Below are 17,028 nucleotides of genomic sequence, written 5' to 3' on the forward strand. Positions count from 1 at the left end.
AGGAGCAGGGAGACAGCTGGGAACTGCGCTGGGAGAGCAGGGTCCTGACCCAGGCCTTCAGGAGGTGAGGCCAGCTGGTGGGCATGAGGCTGTGGTAGAGGCAGCTCAGTTCTAGGAGCACTGGCCCTGGCTGAAGCTGGATGAGCCCTGCTCCTTGAGGATGGGCCAGGTCTGACGGTTCGAAGAGGACGAAGAGGAGGTGAAGACTGTGGGAGAGAGAAGAGGAGGTGAGAAGGGGTCTGAGAGCTAAGCCAACTCCAGGGCAGGGAGAAGGGAGAGCTGGGAGCTCTCAGGAGAAGGGCCTGGCCCCCACTCCATGGAAACAGGCAGAGGGGTTGCAGTGCCGGGGAGCCTCAGGAGCCTTACCCACTCGGGAAGAACAGGATTGGCCAGATGCGTGTGGGGAGGAAAGGCTGTGGGTGAGAAAAGGCAGGGCAGTCAGTTGTGCTGAGAGCAGCAGGGGGGCTAAAGGGTCTGGGAGGCAGAACTGAGGGGCCTGGGACTCACTGGGCGTCCTCGCCCTCCAGCAGGCGGCGGTAGGTGGCGATCTCCTGCTCCAGCCGTGTCTTCATGTCCAGCAAGATCTGGTACTCCCGGCTCTGCTGCTCCATCTCACAGCATAGCTGGGCCAGCTGCTCCTCCACACTGCCAATCAGTCCCTGGATCTGGGACGGCTGCATGCAGTAGCAGCCTTTGGTCTCCTCCAGGCTGTTCTCCAGGGACGCTTTCTGCAAGTGAGAGAGAGAAAAAGAGTCAATGGAGGTGGTCACTCCTGTCCCTCCAGGTCTCTGGGCATGTTTTTTGAGAGGTGCCTGGATTTTGATCCCAGTTGGGGTACTGATGGGCCAGACAATATAGAGAAATGCTAGCCCACTATTCTAGGGTTAGTTTCTCTATCTATATAACAGGTCCCATGAGTCCTCTGGTCCCACCCTGAGAAAAGAAAGGTGGAACTAAATTGCGGCTTGTTGAGGGGGTGGTGGCCATTACTGGTGACCTGGGGGCTGCTGCTGTGCCGGGTCCTTCATACTATGCTAAGCTGGGACTGCAGCTCCATCTCCAGGCCCTGGAACACCCTCTGGAGCAACGTCACCTCACTGCGGCTGCTCTGTACCAGTTCACTGCTGGAGGCCACTTTTTTGTTCAGCTCCTTGGTCTGAGACGGGAAAGCAGAGTGAAAGGTGAGGCTCTCCCAAAGCCCCCAGCTGGGAAGTGCTGCAGGCCCACTGAGGGCCCGAGCCCCACCTTGCTCAGGAACCAGGCCCAGCATCTCTGTGGTTGTGCTTTGCCATCTGCTCGTACTGGTTGCGCATCTCATTCAGGATGCAGCTCAGGTCCACGCCAGGTGCGGCATCCATCTCCACGTTCACTTCTCCACCGGTCTGACCTCGCAGAGCAAGCATCTCCTGGGAAGGGATGGCAGGAGGCGGTCAGCTCAGCAGACTCCTCTCCTGGCCCTGGGTGCATCTGGCAACCCCACCAAACCAGCCTCCCATCCCGGAAGCCAGCAGCAACCACACCTCCTCGTGGTTCTTCCTCAGGTAGGCCAGCTCCTCCTTCAGGCCTTCCATCTGCATCTCCAGGTCAGTCCTGGCCAGGGTCAGCTCATCCAACACCCGGCACAGGCCATTGACGCCAGCCTCCACAGTCTGCCGCAGGGCCAGCTCATGCTCGTAACTGGCAGGACAGAGGTCAGGTCCTTAGGCTGCAGCCCTGAGGATTCTGAGGCTCGGGGTCTGCTGGCCCTGCTGGGTGGACAGCTCCACTCTATGTCCCTTGCCCTCTGCCCCCAGCCCACCATGCTGGCTGCTCACTTGGTCCTGAAGTCATCAGCTGCCAGCCTGGCATTGTCAATCTGCAAAATGGGCTGCGCATTCTCAATGGTGGCCGCAATGATCTGGAGTGGGAATGGAGAACAGGAGCCCTGGTCAGGCAAGGACCTTACTACTTGAGCGTGAAAGGCAGAAAGGGGCAAAAGGAACCTCCCCAAATCTGGAAGTCTTCTGGCTGGCAGGGCTGGCATGCCTTCTCCACCAGCTCAGGGTATGCAGGGATGCACTCCATCCCGATCACCCCCTTCCTGGGCCCAAGGCAGGGAAGCGGAACTTGCAGCTGAACCCTTGCAGGAAATAAGAGATTCAGGGTAACAGCCCCAGTCCGGGCACAGAGATGCTGAAAAGGGACCCTCTGCCACCACTTCCCTGGATGATCCTGGCCACTCCCCAAAGGTGCCCAGTCTCCCTGTTTGTAAAGTGTAATTGCTAAAAAGAGGTATCCCGAGGGCCACTATAGCCCCAGCCTCTCTCAGTGCTCCATACACCAAAGTCACCTACCTTGTGCCTCAGGTCCTCGATGGTCTTGAAGTAGGGACTGCAGTCTTTGATCTCACTGGGCCGCTGCCTCTGGTACCAGTCACGGATCTTCACTTCCAGGTCGGCGTTGGCCTCCTCCAGAGCACGCACCTTGTCCAGGTAGGAGGCCAGGCGGTCACTGAGGTGCTGCATGGTCACCTTCTCACTGCCCACCAGAAGCCCATCACCACCAGCAAAGCCACCACCCAAGCCAGCACCCAAGCCACCACCGACGCCAGCACCAAGGCCACCACCATATCCTCCCCCAAAGCCACTAGCAAAGCTGCTGCTGCTGCCGAAGCCACCGCCATAGCCGCCCCCCAGCCCGCAGGCTCCCCCAAAGGAGAAGCGAGAGAAGGAGACACACAGGCCCCCCCGTAGGTGCTGGGGGCATGGCAGGACCCTCCGGCCAGGACAGAGGAGATGCGGCTGGAGCCGCCCCTGATGCTGCCCCCGATGCTGCAGGAGCCCTTCATGGATCTGGAGGAGGTGAACTGGTGGCTGCAGGTGCTCATCGTGCCAAGGAGGGAGGTGAGCGAGCGAGCAGTTGGCTGAAAAAAGGGAAGGTGCTCAGGAAGGCTAAGAGCATGCTGTGGCTGCCTCCAACCCCAGAGACCTTTATATGCACCTGGGGAAGGCGGGGCCCTCCTAACTGCTGACTCCAGGTTCCCCTCTGGATTTCATCACTCCCAGTCCCGTCCAACTCCTCACTCTGGATTATTCAGCCCAGGATCAACTCCGCTGTGTGCTGGCTCAGAGTTCCCACCCAGCTTTGAGAGTGTGGAGCTGAGAGAAAAACACACAAATGCGAGTCGGTGGTGACTCAGGCTAGGTGGCCGGGAATCAGGCTCCCGTTCCTGGAGCACTTGGGGCCAGTGGGGCCTTGGCACAGGTGGCTTTGTGGCAACTGCGTCCCCAGGCAGTGAGTCAGCCCTTCAGAAGAACTCCCTGCCCCACAGTGACAGCCTTGGCTGAAAGAGACCTCAGTGATGCCATCCTGGGCTGTCTTGGGGAGCAGTTGCGGGGATCCTACATGTCCCACTCTGGGCAGGGGCAGAGTTCGTGTCTTCACTCTGCTTGCTGTGTGGCCTGAGGCTCCCCACCTCCCACCTCTGGGCCTGTTTCCCCTCAGTGGTGACCAGGCTGGACTGGGTGATTGCAGAGTCCCTTCTGGTTCTAAAAATCCTATGACTCTCTTTCCCCTCTTGGATCTAATTCCAGTTCCGGAGGCTGCCTTGAGCCCCCGGGATCTCCAGAAGTGTGTGCACCATACAAACAGCACTGGCCATGGAGCCAGACAGGCGGCACTGAGTCCCTGCTCTGCCCTTACCAGCTGTACAGCACAGGCTGGTCTTACAGCCCCTTGGTCCTCAGTTTTCTCATCTGTAAAAGGGGATGACACACCACTAGCCACAAAGAAACATGCGCGAAGCACCCCACCGGCCCTTCCCCAAGGGCCAGCCCTGCCCCTCATCCTCCTCATCCTCCCCCTCCAGCCACCTGCTCCTCACACTCACCTCTACACACTGGCACCCTCCCGAACCGCTACGCGGGGCCCTGCGTCCCCCACACTCCCAGCTGAAGAACACCACAGCCCCACACCTAGCTCCTCCACTCCTCTACCGCCCTCTCCTAATCACAGGCACCCTACCTGCAGGCCGGTGGGAGGGAGCCCCGTCCTGCCACTGCAGCCAGGTGTGACCCCTGACCCCGCCGTGGGCCTCAGAGTTCCCCCCTACCCTGTAGAAACAGGACTGGCTGGGGATCCGTTCCCAGCAGTTCTCTCTCCTGTGTCCACAGATCCCACGCTGGGCCTGGCAGCTCCATTCATCCAGCTGAGCTGGGGGAGAGCACCGGTCATGGGCCCACTCAGGCACGCATGGAGAGCCTGGTGTGTGTTGTACGGTTCTGTGAGCAGGGATGACGGGGGCGTTATTCCTGCCACCAGTCCTCAGGTGAGGGAGCTGGGATCCAGGGAGGATAAGTGGGCTTCCCAAGACACCAGGCACTGGAAGCTGAGATGTGAACCTGCCTGCCTGTTCTCCTTGCCTAAGCCTGTTCTGTCATCCTGAGCCCTCTCTCTGTGCATCTCAAATTTATATCATTTTCTTGATCAGAGGGGACAGAGGGGTAACCAGAGACAGGTGGAGATTCACTCAAAGTCACTCTGCTTTAAGCTGCAGAGCTGCAACTAGAACCCAGACCTCAGCCCTCTCCAGGCTCCCACCATGCCTGCAGGTGAGGCCAGTATACCCAACTCTCACCCACCTCCCCACGATCACTGGCATGAGGTCTGCCCAGGGTGGGCGTGGCCTTGGCCTGAGAGGCTGGTGCAGCACCGAGGACTGGAGGGAGGAGGAGGGATCTGGGCACCAAGACGGGGCCTCCTCAGGGTGCCGTGGGGCATCCCTTGGTGCTGGCCACTGGCCTTGCTCTGCAGTGCCTCTGTTGAGGTGAGGAGCCCAGAGACAGCCTGCCTCTGCCTGGGCTCCACTGGGGCAGGCAATTCCTTGTCTCAGCAGAACCAGGGTTTTGTCGCTGCTACATCTCCCCTGGTCACTCTGGGATCAGAGGTAAGAGCAGAATGGATGCACATGCATTCAGAGCCAAACCTCAGAGAGGGAACCCGACACTCCCCACCTGAAGGGGTGGCCTGCCCCTCCACAACTGTGGGTGTTTCTCGTGGGGTGGGATGAGAGACTGAGAAAAGAAAGAGACACAGAGACAAAGTATAGAGAAAGAAAAATGGGCCCAGGGGACTGGCGCTCAGCATACAGAGGACCCACGCTGGCCCCAGTCTCCGAGTTCCCTCAGTATTTATTGATCATTATCTCTACCATCTCTACCATCTCCCAGAGGGGGATGTGGCAGGACAATAGGGTAATAGTGGGGAGAGGGCCAGCAGGAAAATGTGAACAAATGTCTCTGTGTCATAAACAAGGTTAAGGAAAAGGTGCTGTGCTTTGATGTGCACATACATAAACATCTCGGTGCATTAAAGAGCAGTGTTACCGCCAGCATGTCTCACCTCCAGCCCTAAGGCGGTTTTCTCCTATCTCAGTAGATGGAATATACAATCGGGTTTTACACCGAGACATTCCATTGCCCAGGGATGAGCAGGAGACAGATGCCTTCCTCTTATCTCAACTGCAAAGAGGCCTTCCTCTTTTACTAATCCTCCTCAGCACAGACCCTTTACGGGTGTCGGGCTGGGGGACGGTCAGGTCTTTCACTTCCCATGAGGCCATATTTCAGACTATCACATGGGGAGAAACCTGGCTTTCCTAGGCAGAGGTCCCTGCGGCCTTCCTTCCGCAGTGTTTTGTGTCCCTGGGTACTTGAGATTAGGGAGTGGTGATGACTTTTAACAAGCTAGCTGCCTTCAAGCATTTGTTTAACAAAGCACATCCTGCATAGCCCTAAATCCATTAAACCTTGAGTCGACACAGGGCATGTTTCTGCGAGCACAGGGTTGGGGTAGGGTTACAGATTAACAGCATCTCAAGGCAGAAGAATTTTTCTTAGTACAGAACAAAATGGAGTCTCTCATGTCTACTTCTTTCTATATAGACACAGTCCGTATAGAAAGAGACACTGATCTCTCTTTCTCTTCCCCACACCCACCCCCACCCCAAAGAGGGACAAAGGGGACCCCGGAATCTTGGACAAAAACCTCAGCGTTCAGGTGTCAGGGTGGGCCTGGAGTTCCAGTCCAACCACAGACCCATCACCCTCAGAACTGAAAATGGTCTTCAAGGTCACCAAAGCCTATCAATACCCCAACCGGAGAGGGCGAAAGCCTTATCCAGGTTAAGCAGCACAAAAGTGAGAGAGCACAGACCGGAGCCAGCTCCAACTCCCAAGCCAGGATTCACACCGACTCTCACAGTGGAGTCTCCGAGAACTCTTCACTCTCTGCCCCCACCGTGTGTGCGTGCACACACACCCCTTTCTCATTGGCTCACTGCCCCCCGCCAAGTTCCCCATTCCAGGAGGTGTCAGGGTGGGATTATACACAAGCCCAGCACTGCAGACCTGAGGATCTGCGTGGGCTGAGAAGCTGCAGGAAGTTGCTGACCAACGCGCCAAACTGCTCAGCCAACTCCATAGATCACGCACCTGCCGTGTGCACAGCTCTCGGGGGCTGGGGGTGAAGAGGGAAATGATGACATAGTCTCTGACCTTAGAAGAACTTATCATTTGACCCTGGAGGGAAAACTAACGCTGGAAAATGCAGAACCTGGCTAGAAACCCTAGGGTACTGGGCTTGCCTGCCACGCCCACACCACAGGAGGCAGCTGGGGTAAGCATTACCCCGCTGAGCCTCAGCAGTAGAGGAGGGGGCTGCCCTCCTGGCCTTGATCCCTGAAAGGGTCCCAGCAGAGGGAGGCACCAGCAGGGCCTCAGAGGATCTGAGTTGACAGAGGAGGAGGAGGCGTTTCCTCTGCATCAGTGATGCACACCTGCCCCAAGGTGGCCAAGAGCCAGGACCACTAAGCCTGGTGAGCATAGAGAAGCCCAATGGGCATCCTCCAGGCAGAGGATTCCTCCCCGCACCCTGCCTCCTTCCTCCCTCCTTCGTCCTGCCCATGTCAAGCATGAGGCAGGAGATCATAGCATACCTGAGGAGGCCGGGAATCACCATTGGCCAATGCCATGCCTTGGCTTGCAGTGATTCTCCAACCAGACAGATCATCAGAGTCCCCAAGAAGATTCGCAGCCCTGCTCCAACTCCTGCATCAGCACCACTCAGGACAAGCCTGCTGGTGGGGCTGTTTTACAAGCTCCCCAGCCAACTCAGACTGGGAAGGCAGGAGGCAGCTTAGGGGGCTGAGGAGTGGGGCAGAGAAGCTGAGGGGAGAGAGGGGGCTGCTGCAGGGCCCCCAGCCCTGGGTGGACAAGCCAGAGCCACAGGCTTCAGGGCAGGAGGAAGGAAAAGTAGAGCCCCACTGAGCCAGGACAGAGCAGCCTGGAATCGGGGCAAGCAGGGGCGAAACCTTGGGCAGGATATTCAGCCTCTCTGAGCCTCAGTTTCCTTGTCTGGGAAATGGGAATAACAGCCCTGTGTCACAGGCATATTAGGGGATTTGAGGCCAAATAAATAAAGCACCTGGCAAAGGCTGGTGGCTAGCGTTATGTTTATGAGCAGGTGTTTATAAAGCACCTACTGTGTGCCTGGCACTGTGCTGGGCACTCAGACTCAAAGAACAAGACAGAGAAGCCCTGGAGACATAGTCTTCTGGGGGAGAAGGTGGTAAAGACAATCCTAATACACTAAAGTCAGGCCACGATGGGGTGCTGGGGCCCTGCAGAGAAACAGAGGGAGCAGGGTTCCTGGGGGAGAACGAATGTCCAGGCCCAGGCTCTGCCCCTGTGATGGCTCCAGGGATCTGGGGAAATCTGTGAGTGCCAGGCCCACCATCGGGGGTCCTCTCCCCTCCTGCAAGTTTGACGCCCCCCTTCTGAAGGTGGGGCTGTCATAGCCCTTCACAATCCAACCACAGATCTGCAGCTTCTGCCTTGATGACGGGGTGAAACATTCTGTGCAGTGGGCAGGGTGGCTGTGGACGAACTGTGAGTCCTTCCATGAGTCCCATAGCTGGGTCCCCAGTCCAGCCCAGGCACATGTCCTCAGCAGCCTGGACCCACTTGGGGTGCCTGTTCTGCACAAACAAGGGGCCCGGACTCCTGTATGAGTCTCAGGAAACCCCCAAGAGGGGCTCCCATTGCCCCCACCCCAGGAGTGTGAGCGGGAAGCTGGTGCCTCCAGGGAAGGCTGCAGACCCCAGGGGGTTGTGGGAGAAAGAGTGGGCCTCTCTCAGGGATGTTTCTTCAAATGGTCACTACAGCTCAGGGTGAGGACGGGTCTCTGTTAAGCTCAGTTATCCCCTCGGCTCTGTGCATGTGGGGAGACCTGCCTGGCTCTGCTCCCTCTGTTCCCCTCATCTCCCCAAAACCTTGGTTGCCGCAATAGACCCACACTGCATAAGGGCTGAGGGACTGTTGTCAGTCCCTCAGGTCCCCTTGGGGCAGGCACTGTCTCTTGGGGTCAGGACCGGTGTCTCCTCCTTTCCCTGGACTCAGTGCAAACCAGACGCAGAGCGATGTCATGCCATGGATGAGTGTCCCCCACCACATCCGTCTCCGTAGAAGACATGCTGCCAGGTCAACCCCTGCAAGGGGGGTCCGGAGGCAGCTACCACTGGCATGGGCCTGGCCTGAGAGTCCTATATGTGTGTCCATCACACGAGACCAGGTGTGGCAGCTCTACAGGGCAACCACAGATCCGCAGCTTCTGCCTTGAGGACATTCTGTGCAGTGGGCAGGGAGTGTGTGGACGAACTGTGAGTCCCTCCTTGAGTCCCATAGCTGGGTCCCCAATCCAGCCCAGGCACATGTCCCCAGCATCCTGGGCCCACTTGGGGTCCTTGGACAAAGTCACTCAAGTCTCCCCACCAGCCCCTGGCAACCACTGCCTCTACTGGCTCAGCTCTCTGGGCACACCGGGGGGCTCCCCCATTCTGGCCTCCTGAGCCTCCCACCCACTCACTTTGTGGAGAAGGGCTTCTTCCCCAGCAGAGGGGCACAGTCTGGGGCTGTCTCTGGTCCTTCCCACACTCTGACCCCTCCTCACTCACGCCATCAGTAATTGTGGACCCCAGGCTCTACAGGAGGGAGAGATAGCCCTGCCTGGAGCCTGAGGTGGGGGAGGAGCTGGGGCTTGGCTCCTCTTCCCAGCACGGAAGCGGGGCCCACTCCCCTCCCATGCCCGTCTCCACTACTGACCCCTCAGGCTGTGGGACAAGGGCTGAGTCACTGCTCCTTGGAGCCTCAGTGTCCCCATCCACACAACAAGGCGCCTTCCCCTAGACCCTCCCTGCTTCCGGGGACTATTCAGACAAATGAAGTCACCCTCCAGAATGAGCCATCTGCAGCCCAGGGCTGTTCTTCTGGTTGTGGCGGGGTGTATGGTGGGGGCCTGGTGCAAACAGTGCCTCCCTCCTGCCCTCCATGGCCCCACATTTGCTGCCAGAGAGCAGGGAGACGTCAGCCTCCAACGGAGCAGAGCTTGCCCTTGCTTTGAGTCGTGCAGATGCCGCTGCAGGTGCAAGTCCCCGACTCCAGGCAGCCATCTACCCTGCAGAGAGAAACACTCTCCCGGGATGTCATAGCTCCAAGGTCCAGGGAGGGCTTGTGACCAGCCCAAAGTCACCCATACCCCAGTGGTCAGTACCCACCCCCATCCCTGGCCTCTGCCAGTCCCAAACCCCCACCAACCCAGGCTCAGAGGGCTCTGGTCACTCCCATTCTCCTCGGACCTGGGCCCCACCCCCAGCCTCCAGGCACCAGGAGAGAGAGGGTGTTTGGGGGCCTTGGTCTGATTCCGCAGCAGCAGAGACACCACAGGTGCAGCAGTGATGACGTGGCGGCACCCTCCTCCCACTAACCCCCTGCTTGAAGAAAACCAGGAAAGCAGGCCAACCCACCTGGCAGTTTCCAGATTTACTACAAGGAAGATTTCCAGGTGTCAGGCTCACCTCCCACAGACTGCTCCCCACAGCCACGTTTGCTGCCACCAGCAAGAGCTGGGGTTGGTCAGCTCATAGAGGGTGCCGGGAGTGGCTGGAGCAGGACTGTTCCTTCTCATTTTCCTAGGAGGCAGTTTCTACCCTCCCTCACACCACCCCTGTCCCTAGTGGGGAACCAAAGAGGATCCAGACCGCCAGGGAGAGTGGCACTGCTCCCTGGGCACAGCCACCCCATCTGCAGTGCCCCCCACTCTGCCCTGTCCGCATCCTGAGCAACAGCTGACCATGTGAGGAAACATCCTTGAGAGAGGCCCCACCCTTTCTCCCATACCTGCCTGGGGTCCGCAGCCTTCCCTGAAAACACCACCCTCCCGCTCACATTCCCAGGGCAGAGGCAATGGGAGCCCCTCTTGGGGATTTCCTGAGACTCACACAGGAGTCGGGGCCCCAATCACCCAGCCTGCCTCCCCCACCCACCCTCCCTTTGTGCTTATCCCAGCCCTTGCCCACCTCCTGCCCCATCTAGGGGGAGGGCACAGCCCACAGGACAGGAAGGAGCAACTGATTGAGTGAGTCATCTCTGAGGATTCGGGCTCCCACACCTGAGATCTTCCCATCCATTTACGGATGGAAAAGCAAGGCTCAGTCAGGGGAAGTGACTGCCTAACTTCCCGAGGTCACAGAGTTACTCACGGGGCAAGCAGTGGCGACCTAGGACCACACCTGATACACCGCCTCCACCCCGGGTCTAGCGCAGCCTGGACCACCCCCTGAAAATCTCCAGCCCTTGGGAGATGCGAGCACCCCCCTCCAAACTCTCCCCAGACTTACTCTTTATGCTGGTCTAAGCTGACCTCTGACCTGCCAGTCAACAACGGGGTCTCCACGCACCATCTCCCCTCACCCTCACTCCTTCCCATTTCACCCTTTTGTCCCCAGTGCCCACTTCAGCGGCCAGAACAAGGACACATTTCATAGCTGAGTCAACGAGCTTTATTGTCATCACGCAGGGAAGCATGGGGAAGGGACTGAAGCAGGGGGCTGAGGGTGGAGAGGCCGGAGACCGCGGGGCAGATGGGACCGCTGCCTCCCTGCCTCCTGGGGGGCCGGCCAGGAAAGCTGAGTGCTCAGCGGGTGGTCTGGCGGACCTGCTCGCGGGAGGAGATGACCTTACCATCCTGGACCTCTTCCACAATGGTAGGCACCTGACAGGTGGTCACCGCTGCAGGAGAAGCAGGCAATTTAAAGTGGGTAGGGGCCAGGAGGCCCTCGCTTGCCCCCTAGCCCTCATGGACAGGAGCCGGCTCTCTCCCTCGTCCTCCCCCAGGTGCTGTGAGTGCCTCCACTGGCACCTCAACATCACACTGCACACACATCCCTCCTGTCCCTGCCACCGCCTCCCTTCCATCCCATCCCTCTGCCGGTGGCCCTGTGTGAGTCTTGCCTCCGCAGATGGGTTATTTGATTCTGACCCAGTGTGTCCTGCCAGGGAGGAGCCATGTAGACTCCATGAAATCCATCTCCATTTCTCTGCAGTCTCCAGGACATAGATTTGCTCCCATCTCCCCCATCAGACTGGGATCGCCAAGACAAAAACCAGGCCCCTATCTCCTCCATTAGACTAGGAACCCTGGGGCTAGAATCATATCTTCTCCATCAGACTGGAATTTGGAGGACAAGGACCAGGTCCCTATTTCCCATCAGGCTAGAGACCCCAGAGACAGGACTGCTTTCGCTCATCCGAAAGCTGTCAAGAGCAAAGATCATGAGACCATGTTCCTATCTTCCCATCAGATGACAATCTCCAGAGCTGGGACATGTCTCCTCCATCAGACTAGGATCTCCAAGGTAAGGACCAGTTCCCTGGCCCACCCCATCAGAGCAGACAGCATCTCTCTCATTTGATCTTTTCCTGAGTATCAATCCTCAGTGCTAATGGGTCACTTCTCCCACCCCTGCTGAGGGACAGCCATCAACTCCTAGAACTCCTGGGGACTCAGCCCCAGCAACGTGCAGGTGGGCTGCCTGTCCCTTGCACCCAATCCCCAAGGCCTCAGCCACCAAGATGCTTATGTTCTTTCTTGTACTGAGTCAGGCTGAAAGAAAAAAAAAAACAGAGAGGAAATTAGATGTGAGTCTGAGAGCCCCCCCCCGCCAAGAGGCCCCCAGCCCTGACCCCAGGCTCCCCCACTCACTGGGCATCCTCGCCCTCCAGCAGGCGGTGGTAGGTGGTGATCTCCAGCTCCAGCCGCATCTTCATGTCCAGGAGGATCTTGTACTCCTGGTTCTGCTGCTCCATCTCGCAGAGAAGCTGGGCCAGCCGCTCCTCCACACTGCCGATCAGCCCCTGGATCTGGGACAGCTGCATGCAGTAGCGGTTCTCTGTCTCCGCCAGGTTGCCCTCCAGGGATGCTTTCTGCAGGAGGGCAGGAAGACCAGGGGTCAGTGAGGGTTGTCAGTGTCCTCTTCTGGGCCCATCCCCATGCACAGGACTGTTCCTACCATGCTGAGCTGGGACTGCAGCTCGATCTCCAAGGCCTGCATGGTGCACCGGAGCTCCGAAATCTCGCTCTTGCCGCTCTGGACCAGCTCACTGTTGGTAGCCACCTCGCGGTTCAGCTCCTCTGTCTGCAGACAGAACACAGGACAGGGTTGTGTGAGCCTGGATCCCTCTCCTCAGTCAGGCCTCCTCCCAAATCTAACTGTGGACAGAGTGATGCGTTCTCACCAGCTTCCCACGTCCCAAAGCCCAGAAACATGCCATTTGAAATGTTAACTTTTTATGGTTAATCCCTGCGTGTGGGAGGCACAGACCGGAAACTTGAGAACCAGCCAGAACATTAGCCTGGCTCTTGGTGCTAGTTTCTGACTTCTTGAGAGAGAGGTGGGGACTCCCAAGATCTTTACCCTCTGCCTTTATTCTGTGGGGGCTCCCTACCTCCCCACCCACCCCCCAGATCCCAGCTTGAGCTCAGCTCCAGGTCTCTTGATGCAGTGGGTGACCCTGTGGTCCATGCAGCTTTCTGAGGAGGGAGCATCTCCAAGACACCTGGCCGTGGGCTTACTGTCAGTGCTAAGGCCCCTGAGCCCCAGCCCCGAAGAGAGACCTCTGGCCTGCAGCAGCCCCCACCTTGCTGAAGAACCAATCCTCGGCATCCTTGCGGTTCTTCTCTGCCATCTTCTCATACTGCTCACGCATCTCATTCAGGATGCGGCTCAGGTCCACACCTGGGGCAGCGCCCATCTCCACATTGATCTCACCGCCCACCTGGCCTCGCGGGGCGTTCATCTCCTATGGAAAAAGGGGATGTGGATGTGCGCATCTGGACCCATCCTGATCTCTCACTCCCAAGCCTTCCCCCACGAGGTGACCCCACTCCCCACAAGGACCCCTCCTTTGTTCTTCCTCTGCTCTATCTGACCCTCTAAATGATTTTTATTCATCTGCTCAGTATTGCCTCCACCATCAGACTCTATCTCCCCCATTAGACCAACGGCTCTCCAAAATAAAATCTAATTATTAGGCCTATGCCCCAAAAATTTCCCCTCTAATTTCCAAGCTTCTGTGTAGATGTTCAGCTTTGAGAGTTTGAAATGGGACAAGAAGGAGACTTCCTTACTTATCCCCTGCCCTCGTGAGGGAGGCCAGGGCAGGTAGAGGGAGCCTCTGCGGGCCCCTGGGAGGTTCCTTGGGTACAGAGAAGCAGTGTGGTACAAAGAGGAGTCTGCCCTGCACGCTGGACCCCAAGGATCAGGGCTCCGCAGACAGGGAAGCCCTCTAAGGTGACTAATCCCAGTGCGCCTGCTCTGCTCTCTCCCACGGCCTCAGCCATGGCCCAGCCCCAGGGCTCTGCCACCCACTCCTCAGCATCTTTGACCTTCTGCCCCAGCCACCTCACCTCGTGGTTCTTCTTCAGGTAGGCCAGCTCCTCCTTGAGGTTCTCAATGTGCATCTCCAGGTCGGCTCTGGCCAGGGTCAGCTCATCCAGCACCCTGCACGGGCCATTGATGTCGGCCTCCACACTCAGGCACAGGGCCTGCTCTGTCTCAAACCTGCCATGGGAATCAGGGACTTCAGCCCAGGCTGCTTGGAATTGCAGGTCCAGGTCCTGGCTGCTCACCTGCCTTCATTTTGCCAGGACTCTAAGGGGTTGGAAGGGCTGATGAGAGGGTCGAGTGGAAACGAATTCCAGCCCCGGGGCCTTGGGACCATCACAGGGCCAGATCCTACGCCCACCAGCTTCCTTACTTCTCTCTGCCTCCCGCCTCCCCTCCCTCTCTTCTATTCCCTGCCTAAGCCCAGCAACCTTCACAACTGGCTGCCTTCACTGCATCCTGGACTAAGTAGTGGGGCTCCTAGGACTGCCCCACCCTGAGCTCCTGGGCCTTGCCACAAGCAACCAAGGAGTCCTGGGGTCAGGAGGGGTACCCTGAGATCCTCCCCCAGCTGACCCAGGCTGCCCAAGCCCACAGCTAGGACTCACTTGGTGCGGAAGTCAGCAGCAGCCAGATGGGCATTGTCAATATGTAGCAGGATGTTGGCATTGTCCACGGTGGCTGTGAGGATCTGCGGAGATGGGAGAGTAGTCAGGTCATCGGATGGGGGTGGCTGAGCCCACACCAGAGTTCTGAACAGATCTTCCTGCCTGGGGGCCTCTCTTCCCGCCCAGCCCCTCCCTTGCCCCGTGCTGTATTATTGGCAGAGGAGGGGCAAGCAGGAGTCTGAAGGGTTCAAAGGTGCCTCTTCTTCCCCCGCTACTCAGTACCCCACCAGACCCCCATGCCAGGCTCAGCCTTAAAGGAGAGGAGGCAGCTGGCTGGGAGTATGAGACAACCAGAAAAGAAAGGGAAAATGTCCCCAGGGCAGAAACTGTCCCAGAATTCTAGAACAAGGGAGGGGATGTGGGCAACCCCCTCGTTTTACAGTCAGCTAGAGGGTGCCCCTGACAGGCTCCCCCAAAAGGAGGCTAAAGGAGCCCTCACCAAAGAGTGGTCCCAAATCAGAAGTCAGGACCCTTCCTAATCCCTAACCCTGGGCTCCAGCCAGCAGCCCCGCCCCCTGCGGTTTGTTGAGCCTGTCTTAAGGGACAGCAGGAGGAAAGGAGAAGCCAGAAAAATCCCCAAATAAGGCACATCAGAGGCCTTCCCCACCCTGAGGTCCCACCCCCTCCTTTCTGCCTCCCACCCGCAGCAGGTGCTATCGGGAGCTCACTCAGACACCCCCACTCCACAACTCCCAAAACCCCTTCCTGCTGACCCCTGCTCCAAAGGAGCAAGACACCACGCATCCAGTGGCCCATGGGCCCAGCCCTCCATCTGCATCCTCCTGCCTCATCCTACAACCTCTCCAGGTGGAGGAGCTCCACGAGGGAGAAACTGAGTCTCCAAGGGGCTCCACGAGGCCTGTTTGTTCCTGACTCAGCCTACTGCCCCCAGAAAAGGGGGATGTGGGCCACACAGGGGCCCCAAGGCAGGTTCCCAGAAGCTAAGCCACAGCCAAACCACCCTTGGCTCCCCGAGACCCTATGGCTGGACTCCAGGCCTTTGGCCAGGGCAGGAGTTGGGGGGAAGAAGTGATGCCCCCTGGAGACCCCTCCCACCAGCAGGCCCTACCTTGTTCTGCAGCTCCTCGATTATCCTGTAGTACTGGCTGTAGTCACGGGCGGGCCCCGGGGCCTGCCTCTGGTACCAGTCACGGATCTTTACCTCCAGCTCAGTGTCGGCCTCCTCCAGGGCACGCACCTTGTCCAGGTAGGAGGCCAGGCGGTCATTGAGGTTCTGCATGGTGGCCTTCTCACCTCCGACCAGCAGCCCATCAACGCCCTCAAAGCTGCTGCTGCCATAGCCACCGCCAGAGCCAAAGCTGTAGCAGCTGGAGTAGCTGCTACCCCCGAGGGCGCTGCCCAGGCCACCAGCAGATCCCGGCCTGCAGGAGCCGGCACCCAGGCCGCCAGACAGCTGGCAGGAGGTGCGGGACGAGCCGCCCCCCAGGCCAGAGGAGCCCTTGATGGAGCTGGAGGAGGTGAACTGGCGGATGGAGGTGGTCATGGTGGCGGCGGCAGGAGGCAGGCACACAGGAGAAGGGCTGGAAAGAAGAGGGGCCCCAAGTAGTGTAGGGCTGCCGGGGTTCACAGGCTTCCTTTATAGGCCACCAAGTGGGCGTAGCGATTACAACAGGCTCCTCTGTTTCCCTTCCCCTGGGCTTTCATCACCACGGGCCACCTGCCAGCTCCCAGGTGGCTGGGGACCCCCTCCCCACCCATCATCAGGAATTTGCCTCATTTCTCCAAATCCTCGTGCTGGGTGCCACGCGTGTGCGTGCCACTGCTCTGAGGCCCGTCACCTGTGATTTGGGCGGGCCCTCCAGCTATGCTTTCCCATGACCTAATATGGAGAAGAGGAGAATACAGGACTTCACCGTCCCCAGGCCCTCCCAGGCAGCCACCACCCCAGCCCGGCCCACCTCAACCCTGTCTGGTGGGGAAATGGGTTGCAGTGTCAGGTGACCACCCCCCTGAAGTTGCTGTCTTTCACCCCACACTGCTCCACCCAAGGTGCTGGCCCGGGGCTGGGTGCTGAAGAGAAAGAGGGGACCGAGAGCCTATCCTGCCTTGGAAACTGAGCCCAAACCCACCAGGCCCACCTCACAGCATAGAAATGCCATCAAGGCTCGGAGACCAACCCACATCGCAGATAAAGAAATTGGGGCTCCAGAGGGGTGCAGTGGCCCCTTCTGCAGAGTCTGACACCCAGGAATGCACTCTAGGGGCTACAGTTCCATCCAGTCAGCTTCTGACCCTGCCCCATCCCTAGAAGCCCTTGCTAACCCAGTCTCCTCGTGTAAACCTTTCCCCAGGTTTACACTCCAGGCTGGGGTGGGCAAACAGGGGCTCAGCTATAGGATGGGGGAAAGGTGGGCCGTGCTAAGAGAGGATCTAAACCAACTGAGAGGGGAATGCCCCCTTCCACTCCTCTCACCCTTCTGTACCCCAAGAGACCTCAGGGTCAGGGGAGGGGCATTTCTCTCAGGTCTCAGCCCACAGGAAACCTAAAGGACATTGCCCAAGAAGAGGCTCTTACAGAGACCCCAGCCAGCCAGCCCCCTCCCCACTCCAGGCTCCCCAAGATGTGGCTCCTTGGGCGGGCCA

At 58.6% G+C, this 17,028-nt stretch overlaps 1 long non-coding RNA gene and 2 pseudogenes across 3 annotated transcripts, besides 14 other annotated features; 1 reads left to right on the top strand and 2 right to left on the bottom strand.

Moving 5' to 3' along the window:
• Positions 1-595: 595 nt before the first annotated feature.
• On the bottom strand, positions 596-2,946 carry KRT16P2 (keratin 16 pseudogene 2; annotated as a pseudogene). Its single transcript, NR_029392.1, has 5 exons — positions 2,334-2,946; positions 1,815-1,897; positions 1,521-1,677; positions 1,246-1,406; positions 596-1,156 (listed from the first exon to the last, which is right to left on the bottom strand). The product of NR_029392.1 is annotated as a keratin 16 pseudogene 2 (transcript).
• Positions 891-1,401: an enhancer, noted in NCBI's record as "H3K4me1 hESC enhancer chr17:16734092-16734602 (GRCh37/hg19 assembly coordinates)". NCBI's record gives its function as "activates a minimal SCP1, AML or CMV promoter by ChIP-STARR-seq in naive and primed H9 embryonic stem cells {active_cell/tissue: H9 hESC(naive and primed)}" and the evidence as "EXISTENCE:reporter gene assay evidence [ECO:0000049][PMID:30033119]".
• Positions 2,613-3,125: an enhancer, noted in NCBI's record as "H3K27ac-H3K4me1 hESC enhancer chr17:16735814-16736326 (GRCh37/hg19 assembly coordinates)". NCBI's record gives its function as "activates a minimal SCP1, AML or CMV promoter by ChIP-STARR-seq in naive H9 embryonic stem cells {active_cell/tissue: H9 hESC(naive)}" and the evidence as "EXISTENCE:reporter gene assay evidence [ECO:0000049][PMID:30033119]".
• LOC105371551 (uncharacterized) lies at positions 2,800-5,431 on the top strand. The gene is made up of 3 exons (XR_934249.3): positions 2,800-2,882; positions 4,152-4,306; positions 4,469-5,431. It is a non-coding gene; the product is annotated as an uncharacterized LOC105371551 (long non-coding RNA).
• Positions 4,151-4,663: an enhancer, noted in NCBI's record as "H3K27ac-H3K4me1 hESC enhancer chr17:16737352-16737864 (GRCh37/hg19 assembly coordinates)". NCBI's record gives its function as "activates a minimal SCP1, AML or CMV promoter by ChIP-STARR-seq in naive H9 embryonic stem cells {active_cell/tissue: H9 hESC(naive)}" and the evidence as "EXISTENCE:reporter gene assay evidence [ECO:0000049][PMID:30033119]".
• Positions 5,177-5,689: an enhancer, noted in NCBI's record as "OCT4-NANOG-H3K27ac-H3K4me1 hESC enhancer chr17:16738378-16738890 (GRCh37/hg19 assembly coordinates)". NCBI's record gives its function as "activates a minimal SCP1, AML or CMV promoter by ChIP-STARR-seq in naive and primed H9 embryonic stem cells {active_cell/tissue: H9 hESC(naive and primed)}" and the evidence as "EXISTENCE:reporter gene assay evidence [ECO:0000049][PMID:30033119]".
• Positions 5,690-6,201: an enhancer, noted in NCBI's record as "OCT4-NANOG-H3K27ac-H3K4me1 hESC enhancer chr17:16738891-16739402 (GRCh37/hg19 assembly coordinates)". NCBI's record gives its function as "activates a minimal SCP1, AML or CMV promoter by ChIP-STARR-seq in primed H9 embryonic stem cells {active_cell/tissue: H9 hESC(primed)}" and the evidence as "EXISTENCE:reporter gene assay evidence [ECO:0000049][PMID:30033119]".
• Positions 10,352-10,901: an enhancer, noted in NCBI's record as "H3K4me1 hESC enhancer chr17:16743553-16744102 (GRCh37/hg19 assembly coordinates)". NCBI's record gives its function as "activates a minimal SCP1, AML or CMV promoter by ChIP-STARR-seq in primed H9 embryonic stem cells {active_cell/tissue: H9 hESC(primed)}" and the evidence as "EXISTENCE:reporter gene assay evidence [ECO:0000049][PMID:30033119]".
• On the bottom strand, positions 10,900-15,985 carry KRT17P1 (keratin 17 pseudogene 1; annotated as a pseudogene). The gene is made up of 7 exons (NR_146392.1): positions 15,494-15,985; positions 14,365-14,447; positions 13,780-13,933; positions 13,011-13,172; positions 12,383-12,508; positions 12,076-12,296; positions 10,900-11,976 (listed from the first exon to the last, which is right to left on the bottom strand). The product of NR_146392.1 is annotated as a keratin 17 pseudogene 1 (transcript).
• Positions 13,157-13,375: a non allelic homologous recombination region, noted in NCBI's record as "sub-region 1, recombines with sub-region 1' within the proximal SMS-REP block C recombination region". NCBI's record gives the evidence for it as "EXISTENCE:nucleotide sequencing assay evidence [ECO:0000219][PMID:14639526]" and "EXISTENCE:restriction fragment detection evidence [ECO:0001124][PMID:14639526]".
• Positions 13,157-17,028: part of a biological region, named in NCBI's record as "distal SMS-REP block C recombination region", that runs on past the window's edge. NCBI's record gives its function as "recombination_partner: LOC106020710".
• Positions 14,950-16,605: a non allelic homologous recombination region, noted in NCBI's record as "sub-region 2, recombines with sub-region 2' within the proximal SMS-REP block C recombination region". NCBI's record gives the evidence for it as "EXISTENCE:nucleotide sequencing assay evidence [ECO:0000219][PMID:14639526]" and "EXISTENCE:restriction fragment detection evidence [ECO:0001124][PMID:14639526]".
• Positions 15,083-15,949: an enhancer, noted in NCBI's record as "H3K27ac-H3K4me1 hESC enhancer chr17:16748284-16749150 (GRCh37/hg19 assembly coordinates)". NCBI's record gives its function as "activates a minimal SCP1, AML or CMV promoter by ChIP-STARR-seq in naive H9 embryonic stem cells {active_cell/tissue: H9 hESC(naive)}" and the evidence as "EXISTENCE:reporter gene assay evidence [ECO:0000049][PMID:30033119]".
• Positions 15,439-16,673: a meiotic recombination region, noted in NCBI's record as "meiotic double-strand break mapped by DNA meiotic recombinase 1 chromatin immunoprecipitation followed by single-stranded DNA enrichment and sequencing in the germ cells of some male individuals with PRDM9 A/A, PRDM9 A/B, and PRDM9 A/C genotypes". NCBI's record gives the evidence for it as "EXISTENCE:chromatin immunoprecipitation-seq evidence [ECO:0000229][PMID:25395542]".
• Positions 15,921-15,933: a nucleotide motif, noted in NCBI's record as "nucleotide motif; similarity to the predicted 13-mer PRDM9 A binding motif (LD hotspot motif), CCNCCNTNNCCNC".
• Positions 15,950-16,814: an enhancer, noted in NCBI's record as "H3K27ac-H3K4me1 hESC enhancer chr17:16749151-16750015 (GRCh37/hg19 assembly coordinates)". NCBI's record gives its function as "activates a minimal SCP1, AML or CMV promoter by ChIP-STARR-seq in primed H9 embryonic stem cells {active_cell/tissue: H9 hESC(primed)}" and the evidence as "EXISTENCE:reporter gene assay evidence [ECO:0000049][PMID:30033119]".
• Positions 16,061-16,076: a nucleotide motif, noted in NCBI's record as "nucleotide motif; similarity to the predicted 16-mer PRDM9 C-type binding motif, CCNCNNTNNNCNTNNC".

Source organism: Homo sapiens, chromosome 17 (genome assembly GCF_000001405.40).
Source record: "Homo sapiens chromosome 17, GRCh38.p14 Primary Assembly".
NCBI lineage: Eukaryota > Metazoa > Chordata > Mammalia > Primates > Hominidae > Homo > Homo sapiens.